General features: G+C 41.4%; 1 annotated feature.

Moving 5' to 3' along the window:
• Nucleotides 6,704-7,275: an enhancer, noted in NCBI's record as "NANOG-H3K27ac-H3K4me1 hESC enhancer chr4:11385598-11386169 (GRCh37/hg19 assembly coordinates)". NCBI's record gives its function as "activates a minimal SCP1, AML or CMV promoter by ChIP-STARR-seq in naive and primed H9 embryonic stem cells {active_cell/tissue: H9 hESC(naive and primed)}" and the evidence as "EXISTENCE:reporter gene assay evidence [ECO:0000049][PMID:30033119]".

Below are 11,206 nucleotides of genomic sequence, written 5' to 3'. Positions count from 1 at the left end.
CAAGGAATGCATTTCCATTGTATATTAACCAGAGCCTTACAGCAAGATTATTCAGAGATGACAATTGTCAAATTTTAATTATATCCTTTGAGATAAAAAAAAAAAAAACAAAAAGCACATACACACAACTGCGGCTCCATCAGCTGATAGAGTTGAAAGGGAACATACCGGTCATTTTAGCCAAACTTCTTTTTTTATAGAAGGATTTGAGATCTGGAGGAGTAAAGTAATGTAGGTAGCAGCAGAATCCAAGGGAGAACTCAGAACTACTTCGTAATATCTATCACACTGCGTATCTGTTGTCTAATCCCTTGCTCTCCAAGTGAAGGTCTGTTGCTTACTATGGAGAAAAATGCACCACACAGTTCTCTGCATAAAGCAGATACCCAGCTGAGACTTGATTGAAATTATGCTCCTCATTTAGTAGTGTTTTTGGTACTGCAGGAAAAACAATAATAGCTAAACATACTGGGTGTTCCAGTTACCTAAGGCTATATAACAAACCACTCCAAAATTTAGTGTATAAAGAAACAATCTATTACCTCTTATGGTTCTGTGGGTAAATTGGAAACATCTGAGAAAGTCTTGCTTGGGGGCTTACCTGGTTGTAGTCAGGTGGTGGCTAGGACTGTAGTCATCTGAAGACTAACCTCATCTGGATGGCCAAGATGGCTTCTTTAATCTCATGTTGGGATAACTGTAACACCTCCATGTGGCCAACTTGGGTTTCCTCACAGCATGGCCAACTTAGAGTTATTGGTGGAACTTTTTATATGGTAGCTGGCTTTCCCCAGAATGTTCCAAGAAACCAAGTCAAAAGTTGCAAATGTTACATAGTGAAACTATTGTCACATTTAATGTTTCAACAAGGCCGGCCCAAATTCAGTGTGGGAAAAGACCACAAAAGAGGCAGAATAATTGGAGGCGTGGTTCACAGGGGGGCCCTCTGTTGAGACTAGCTTCCATACCTGGTTGTTCCTTGACAATGAAATCGACAGAACAAGTGCTTAATGGTTATGTGGTCATACTTAAAAAGGGAGATTAATGTAAGTGTAAGCTTTCAGGATATTAGTGTTCATTATACAAATGTAAGTTATCATTATTATAAGTCCTTGGGCTTGCTATGTAATTTCAACTATTTTGACCTAAGGAATGTGGCCAGTTCACTCCTCTTTTGATCCCATGTGATGGTGATTAAGTGATTTTGCATAAATCAATTTATTCTACAAGTAGAATCCAGGCGTGCACACTATGTTGCTTCCTCTGAATGTTTTTATGGCTCAACCAAACCATGTGAAGAAAAGATACACTTAGAACAAATTACAGGCTGGAGTCAGCTTGGAAAACTTTGTGTTATATGAAAGCACAAACCCTGACAGACCTGCAAAACCTCTTAGACAATTCATCAGACATAAAAGACTATTGCTGAGACATTTAACACTGGATATTAAAAGCTGTTCGCAGCACTCAAAAGACAATATATGGCAGACTCTATTTCTACTTTCTTTAATTTGGAAGTTCTATCTTTAGTAGCAATTTACATTTTCCACACAATTAAAGACTGTACCTATTTCTGATATGCACTTCAAGTATCCAATTCGTCTGTGATTTACATTTTCTTCTCTGTTTATCTGTTTATTTCCCTCTCAGTTAGAAAACGAGGTTTTAAATTTTGGCATCATCACTTAAAATCTGGGTAATGCTGGGCAAATTTGATTAACCATTCAAGAGGGTCAGTTGGCTGATATGTTAAATGGGAGTATGATTTTGTTTCAGGAATTGTTGTGGCTCTTGAAGGCTATGAGCATAGCCAGGCATGCAGTAGATATTCAACACATACATATTCATTGATCTTTTAATACACTTTTTGTTGGTGGATTCAAAGGGTCTGTAAATAGGAATTCACTTGTGACAATGGAACAGCCCTTCAGATATCATTGTACCATCATGAATGTCAAGGCCAATACATCTAAAAATCAATGAAATTTTATTGTGCTTCTAATGGTAACCATTTACATAAGTCCAAGCCATGGGCAAATGTGATATAGTGGTATAGTAAGAACTATGTACAAATGCTCCTTGACTTACAATGGAGTTATATCCCAATAAATCTGATTTATTGAAATATCTTGATAAGTTGAAAATACTGTAAATCAAAAATGCATTTAATATGCTAATCTATTTAACATCATAGATAAGCCTAGCCTACCTTAAACATGCACAGAACACTTACATTAACTTAAAGTTGGGCAAAATAACCTACCACAAAGCCTATTTTAGAATGAAATGTTGAATATCTCATGTCATTTATTGAATATTGTACTGAAAGTGAAAAACAGAATGGTTGTATGAGTACCCACCACTAGCACATACAGCTGAAAGCACACTGGGCCTGAAATATGTTTGAAGAATTGAACTAAAATTAATTTTTGAATGATGGGGGTGCTACAGCCACAGGGTCATCAATTTCTCTCTCTTCCAGTGAGGCTTAAGAAGAGCCGATAGAAGGCACTGGAACACGGACACTTGTTTATGGGTCAGCAGCAATAGTGTTCTTCAGGACGATACCAAGTGTCAGTTTAGCCCAGTGAGCACGTGGCTGAATGGGAACTACTGCTCGCTGCCACTGCTCAGCCTTGCTAGAGAGTGTCTTACTGAATATCACTAGACCAGGAAGATATCAAAATTCAAAATTGGAAATATGGTTTCTACTGAATTTGTATTGCTTCTGCTACCATCACAAAGTCAGAAAATAGTAAGCCAAATCACTGTAAGCTGAGAACCATCCCTATGTTGGTCTTCACCTTGTTCTTGACATACAACTTCTAAAACTCTTGGAATTTCCTAAGGGATAAAAGCAATAAAGCACAGAAAGGAGCCTTTTGTTATTCACAACAGGCCGCTTTCCACCACACCTGAGTTAACATTGATGAGATGACTTTTTTTTTTTTTTTTTTTTTTTTTTTTTGAGACGGAGTCTCGCTCTGTCGCCCAGGCCGGACTGCGGACTGCAGTGGCGCAATCTCGGCTCACTGCAAGCTCCGCTTCCCGGGTTCACGCCATTCTCCTGCCTCAGCCTCCCGAGTAGCTGGGACTACAGGCGCCCGCCACCGCGCCCGGCTAATTTTTTGTATTTTTAGTAGAGACGGGGTTTCACCTTGTTAGCCAGGATGGTCTCGATCTCCTGACCTCATGATCCACCCGCCTCGGCCTCCCAAAGTGCTGGAATTACAGGCGTGAGCCACCGCGCCCGGCCGATGAGATGACTTTTGTAAAACTCCTGGATAACCACAGGATGGGAGGTGGTTGCCAGGGGAAACAACCACATGATTAAAAGGTCTGAGCTTTCAGCCCTAGCTGCCACACTCCCTCACTTCTGATCTCCCTGAAGGAAGCAGGTGAAGGGGGGCTGAAGATTGAGTTGATCACCGATGGTCAATGATTTAATCAGCCATACCTACTTAATGGTGTGACCATAAAAACCCAAACGGACAGAGTTCAGAGTTTCCAAGTTGATGAACATTTGAGGGTGCTGGGAGGATAGCAAGCCCAGAGAGGCCATGGACGCTCTGCACTCCTTCATTCTGCATCATCCCATGGCAGAAGGTGGAAGAGCAAGGGAGGGTGAGAGCAAGAGAGCAAAATATGCTGAACTCACTTTTAAAAGAAACCCACTCTTGTGACAGCTATTTCACTCCCTTGATAATGACATTAATCCATTCCTTCAGGCCAAGCTTTCATGACATAATCACCTCTTACGAGGCCCCACCTCCCAACAGTGTTGCATTGGAGATTAAGTTTTCAATACATAAATTTTGGGGACATATTCAAACCATAGCATTCCATTCTTGGTCCTCCAAATGTATGTTCTTACAATGCAAAATACATTCATTCTATCCCAATAGTCTCAAATTCTTAACTTGTTCTAGTCATCAACTCAAAAGTTCAAAGTCCAGAGTCTCATCTAAATCAAAGTGACACTAAAGGCACAATTCATCAGAGGCAAATTATTTTCCAGCTGTGAGCCTGTGAAATTAACAAGTTATGAAATACAATCGTGAAACAGGCACAGAATAGACATTCTCACTTCAAAAGAGAGAAATAGACGAAAAGAAAGGAGTAACTGGGCCCAAGCAAGTCCAAAACCCAACAGGGAAAATAACATTCAGTCTTAAATCTGGAGAACAATTTATTTTGACTCCATGTCCTGAATCCTGAGCACAAAGTGGGTTAGGAACTGGGCCCCCAAAGTCTCAGGCAGCCCCATGCCTATGGCTTTGCCGGGCACAATCCATCCAGAAGCTATCATGGGTTAAAATCTTATGCCTGCAACTGCAGGGTTCCTGGAGCTGCACTCCAGTGGCTTTACAGTTCTGGGGTCTTAGGGACTGTTCCACTCTCATAGCACCATTAGGCTTTGCATTAGTGGGTGCTGTCTGTGGTGTCTACTACTGTGACAGGTCTATGCCCCCAGACTGTCCAAGACATCCTTTGAAATTTAGACGGAGGCCATCTTGGCCACATAGCTCTTGCATTTTGTCTGCAGAATTAGAATCACATGAGTTCTCCCAAAGTTTATGGCTTGTAACTTTTGGAACAGTGGGTAAAGCCACACCTGGACTCACCTGAGCCACAGCTGGGGTGGCTGAGGGGTGCTGCACCAGAATTCAGGGATCCCTGAATTTTAGATGTCACAGGGCAGCAGATTCTGAGGTTCCATGGGCACTTCTTTGAAAACCTTGCCCTCAAGTTTCTAGCTCACCTGGGATGTCTCTGAAATGCTTCCAAGAGCATTCTCTCATTGTCTGGTTAAATGGAACCTGGCTTCCTTCTATCCATATTAATCACTTTAGCAAATGTTCACTTGGCCACACTCTTAGTGTTCTCTCCCAAGCATGTTTTTATTTATTTTTTATTTTTTTTTCTATTCCTGACATGGCAGGCTGAGCATTTTACAAGTCTTTTCATTCTGCTTCCCTTTTAATTATAAATTTCATCTTTAAATCACTTCTGACTTCTATCACTTCACTATAAGCAGTTAAAAGTAGCCAGGCAAGTCTTTCAATATCTTGCTTAGAAATTTCTTCCACCAGATATCCTATTAGGTTGGTGCAGATGTAATTGCACTTTTGCCATTACATCCAATGGCAAAAACCAACCTAATAGTTTATCATTCTTACTTAAATTGCACCTTCCATAGAGCCCTTGAGAATGGACACAGTTCAACCAAATCCTTTGTCAATTTATAACAAATATAGGCTTTATTTCAGTTTCCAATAAACTATTCCTTGTTTCTATCTCAGCCCTCATCAGAATGGCTTTTACTGTCCACATTTCTACCAACATTTTGATCATGACCACTTAAGTAATCTTTAACAAGATTCAGACTTTTCTTACAGCTATTCTCTTCTTCTGAGTCCTCCCCACAACAGCCCTTAAGGCTCTGTTTATGGCAATCTAGGCTTTTCCTAGCCTGCTTTCCTAAATTCTTCTAATCAGTGCACATTCGGCAGTTCCAAAGCTGTTTTCATATTTTCAGGTACTTGTTATAGCAACAACATCACTTGTTCAGTACCAATTTTCTGTCTGAGTCCATTTTATTTTGCTAGAGCAGAATATCACATACTGGGTAATTTACAATAAACAGAAATTTATTTGGCTTACGGTTCTGAAGACTGGGGAGTCCAGGAGTATTTGAGAACCTTAGTGCCGTGTCATCCCATTGAACAAGGCATATAGGTGAGGGTGGGAGTGAGAGAACATGAGGGGGGCAAACTCATTTTTCTAATAAACTTACTTCTGTGATAAATAAACCACTCCCTTGATAATGACATTCATCCATTCATGAGGGCAAAGGCTTCATGACCTAATTACCTCTTATTAGGCCCCAACCCCAAGCATTGGAGATTGAGTTTCCAACATATGAATTTTTTGAGATATGTTCAAACTATAACACATATCTCCCATTTGTCAGCTTCTGAGTTGTATCTTTTATAATAAACTTGTAATCGTACGTAAAGCACTTTTCTGAGTTCTATAAGCTATTGTATAAAATTATTAAACCTGAGAAAGGGGGTTATTGGAACCCTTGAATTTGTACTTGCCAAGTCAGAAGCAATGATGACACCTTAGATCTTGTTATTGACTTTTGAAGTGGGGGCAGTCTTGTGGGAATGAACCTTAGCCTATGGGGTCTGATACGATCTCAGGATCATATCAGAATTGAGTTAAATCATAGAACACTCAACTGTTGTTGTCTGCCAAGAATTTAAAAATTGCTTGGTGTGAGGGAGGAAAAAAGCACACATTTGATGACTAGAAGTGAAACAGTGGTGTGGAAGTTGAGTGAGTATAAAATGATTTGTTTTATCCTGTAGGACAAACAAACACCATTTTTTGAGATAATTATCAGGATTATGAAGATCATTTTGTTTTTCTGAACTATTCCAATAATGAAGAAGAAAAGGCTGATGGTGGCGGGAGGAGCAAAGATGGCCGAATAGGAACAGCTCTGGTCTACAGCTCCCAGCGTGAGCGACGCAGAAGACGGGTGATTTCTGCATTTCCATCTGAGGTACCGGGTTCATCTCACTAGGGAGTGCCAGACAGTGGGCGCAGGCCAGTGGGTGCGCGCACCGTGCGCGAGCCGAAGCAGGGCAAGGCATTGCCTCACCTGGGAAGCACAAGGGGTCAGGGAGTTCCCTTTCCGAGTCAAAGAAAGGGGTGACGGACGCACCTGGAAATCGGGTCACTCCCACCCAAATATTGCGCTTTTCAGGCCGGCTTAAAAAACGGCGCACCACGAGACTATATCCCACACCTGGCTCGGAGGGTCCAACGCCCACGGAGTCTCGCTGATTGCTAGCACAGCAGTCTGAGATCAAACTGCCAGGCAGCAGCGAGGCTGGGGGAGGGTCGCCCGCCATTGCCCAGGCTTGCTTAGGTAAACAAAGCAGCCTGGAAGCTCGAACTGGGTGGAGCCCACCACAGCTCAAGGAGGCCTGCATGCCTCTTGTAGGCTCCACCTCCGGGGACAGGGCACAGACAAACAAAAAGACAGCAGTAACCTCTGCAGACTTAAATGTCCCTGTCTGACAGCTTTGAAGAGAGCAGTGGTTCTCCCAGCACGCAGCTGGAGATCTGAGAACGGGCATACTGCCTCCTCAAGTGGGTCCCTGACCCCTGACCCCCGAGCAGCCTAACTGGGAGGCACCCCCCAGCAGGGGCACACTGACACCTCACACGGCAGGGTATTCCAACAGACCTGCAGCTGAGGGTCCTGTCTGTTAGAAGGAAAACTAACACACAGAAAGGACATCCACACCAAAAACCCATCTGGACATCACCATCATCAAAGACCAAAAGTAGATAAAACCACAAAGATGGGGAAAAAACAGAACAGAAAAACTGGAAGCTCTAAAACGCAGAGCGTCTCTCCTCCTCCAAAGGAACGCAGTTCCTCACCAGCAACGGAACAAAGCTGGATGGAGAATGACTTTGACGAGCTGAGAGAAGAAGGCTTCAGACGATCAAATTACTCTGAGCTACGGGAGGACATTCAAACCAAAGGCAAAGAAGTTGAAAACTTTGAAAAAAATTTAGAAGAATGTATAACTAGAATAACCAATACAGAGAAGTGCTTAAAGGAGCTGATGGAGCTGAAAACCAAGGCTCGAGAACTACGTGAAGAATGCAGAAGCCTCAGGAGCCGATGAGATCAACTGGAAGAAAGGGTATCAGCGATGGAAGATGAAATGAATGAAATGAAGCGAGAAGGGAAGTTTAGAGAAAAAAGAATAAAAAGAAATGAGCAAAGCCTCCAAGAAATATGGGACTATGTGAAAAGACCAAATCTACGTCTGATTGGTGTACCTGAAAGTGATGGGGAGAATGGAACCAAGTTGGAAAACACTCTGCAGGATATTATCCAGGAGAACTTCCCCAATCTAGCAAGGCAGGCCAACGTTCAGATTCAGGAAATACAGATAACACCACAAAGATACTCCTCGAGAAGAGCAACTCCAAGACACATAATCGTCAGATTCACCAAAGTTGAAAAGAAGGAAAAAATGTTAAGGGCAGCCAGAGAGAAAGGTCGGGTTACCCTCAAAGGGAAGCCCATCAGACTAACAGCGGATCTCTCGGCAGAAACCCTACAAGCCAGAAGAGAGTGGGGGCCAATATTCAACATTCTTAAAGAAAAGAATTTTCAACCCAGAATTTCATATCCAGCCAAACTAAGCTTCATAAGCGAAGGAGAAATAAAATCCTTTACAGACAAGCAAATGCTGAGAGATTTTGTCACCACCAGGCCTGCCCTAAAAGAGCTCCTGAAGGAAGCGCTAAACATGAAAAGGAACAACCGGTACGAGCCGCTGCAAAATCATGCCAAAATGTAAAGACCATCGAGACTAGGAAGAAACTGCATCAACTAACGAGCAAAATCACCAGCTAACATCATAATGACAGGATCAAATTCACACATAACAATATTAACTTTAAATGTAAATGGACTAAATTCTCCAATTAAAAGACACAGACTGGAAAATTGGATAAAGAGTCAAGATCCATCAGTGTGCTGTATTCAGGAAACCCATCTCATGTGCAGAGACACATATAGGCTCAAAATAAAAGGATGGAGGAAGATCTACCAAGCAAATGGAAAACAAAAAAAGGCAGGGGTTGCAATCCTAGTCTCTGATAAAACAGACTTTAAACCAACAAAGATCAAAAGAGACAAAGAAGGCCATTACATAATGGTAAAGGGATCAATTCAACAAGAAGAGCTAACTATCCTAAATATATATGCACCCAATACAGGAGCACCCAGATTCATAAAGCAAGTCCTGAGTGACCTGCAAAGAGACTTAGACTCCCACACATTAATAATGGGAGACTTTAACACCCCACTGTCAACATTAGACAGATCAACGAGACAGAAAGTCAACAAGGATACCCAGGAATTGAACTCAGCTCTGCACCAAGCGGACCTAACAGACATCTACAGAACTCTCCACCCCAAATCAACAGAATATACATTTTTTTCAGCACCACACCACACCTATTCCAAAATTGACCACATAGTTGGAAGTAAAGCTCTCCTCAGCAAATGGAAAAGAACAGAAATTATAACAAACTATCTCTCAGACCACAGTGCAATCAAACTAGAACTCAGGATTAAGAATCCCACTCAAAGCCGCTCCACTACATGGAAACTGAACAACCTGCTCCTGAATGACTACTGGGTACATAATAAAATGAAGGCAGAAATAAAGATGTTCTTTGAAACCAACGAGAACAAAGACACAACATACCAGAATCTCTGGGATGCATTCAAAGCAGTGTGTAGAGGGAAATTTATACCACTAAATGCCCACAAGAGAAAGCAGGAAAGATCCAAAATTGACACCCTAACATCACAATTAAAAGAACTAGAAAAGCAAGAGCAAACACATTCAAAAGCTAGCAGAAGGCAAGAAATAACTAAAATCAGAGCAGAACTGAAGGAAATAGAGACACAAAAAACCCTTCAAAAAATCAATGAATCCAGGAGCTGGTTTTTTGAAAGGATCAACAAAACTGATAGACCGCTAGCAAGACTAATAAAGAAAAAAAGAGAGAAGAATCAAATAGACACAATAAAAAATGATAAAGGGGATATCACCACCGATCCCACAGAAATACAAACTACCATCAGAGAATACTACAAACACCTCTACGCAAATAAACTAGAAAATCTAGAAGAAATGGATAAATTCCTGGACACATACACTCTCCCAAGACTAAACCAGGAAGAAGTTGAATCTCTGAATAGACCAATAACAGGAGCTGAAATTGTGGCAATAATCAATAGCTTACCAACCAAAAAGGGTCCAGGACCAGATGGATTCACAGCCGAATTCTACCAGAGGTACAAGGAGGAACTGGTACCATTCCTTCTGAAACTATTCCAATCAATAGAAAAAGAGGGAATTCTCCCTAACGCATTTTATGAGGCCAGCATCATTCTGATACCAAAGCCGGACAGAGACACAACCAAAAAAGAGAATTTTAGACCAATATCCTTGATGAACATTGATGCAAAAATCCTCAATAAAATACTGGCAAACTGAATCCAGCAGCACATCAAAAAGCTTATCCACCATGATCAAGTGGGCTTCATCCCTGGGATGCAAGGCTGGTTCAATATACGCAAATCAATAAATGTAATCCAGCATATAAACAGAGCCAAAGACAAAAACCACATGATTATCTCAATAGATGCAGAAAAAGCCTTTGACAAAATTCAACAACCCTTCATGCTAAAAACTCTCCATAAATTAGGTATTGATGGGACATATTTCAAAATAATAAGACCTATCTATCACAAACCCACAGCCAATATCATACTGAATGGGCAAAAACTGGAAGCATTCCCTTTGAAAACTGGCACAAGACAGGGATGCCCTCTCTCACCACTCCTATTCAACATAGTGTTGGAAGTTCTGGCCAGGGCAATTAGGCAGGAGAAGGAAATAAAGGGTATTCAGTCAGGAAAAGAGGAAGTCAAATTGTCCCTGTTTGCAGATGACGTGATTGTATATCTAGAAAACCCCATTGTCTCAGCCCAAAATCTCCTTAAGCTGATAAGCAACTTCAGCAAAGTCTCAGGATATAAAATCAATGTACAAAAATCACAAGCATTCTTATACACCAACAACAGACAAACAGAGAGCCAAATCAGGAGTGAACTCCCATTCACAATTGCTTCAAAGAGAATAAAATACCTAGGAATCCAACTTACAAGGGATGTGAAGGACCTCTACAAGGAGAACGACAAACCACTGCTCAAGGAAATAAAAGAGGATACAAACAAATGGAAGAACATTCCATGTTCATGGGTAGGAAGAATCAATATCGTGAAAATGGCCATACTGCCCAAGGTCATTTACAGATTCAATGCCATCCCCATCAAGCTACCAATGACTTTCTTCACAGAATTGGAAAAAACTACTTTAAAGTTCATATGGAACCAAAAAAGAGCCCGCATCACCAAGGCAATCCTAAGCCAAAAGAACAAAGCTGGAGGCATCACACTACCTGACTACAAACTATACTACAAGGCTACAGTAACCAAAACAGCATGGTACTGGTACCAAAACAGAGATATAGATCAATGGAACAGAATAGAGCCCTCAGAAAAAACGCCGCATACCTACAACTATCT

Source organism: Homo sapiens, chromosome 4, assembly GCF_000001405.40.
Source record: "Homo sapiens chromosome 4, GRCh38.p14 Primary Assembly".
Lineage (NCBI taxonomy): Eukaryota > Metazoa > Chordata > Mammalia > Primates > Hominidae > Homo > Homo sapiens.
The sequence above is the reverse complement of the archived record's forward strand: the minus strand, read 5'-3'. Positions and strand labels throughout refer to the sequence as shown.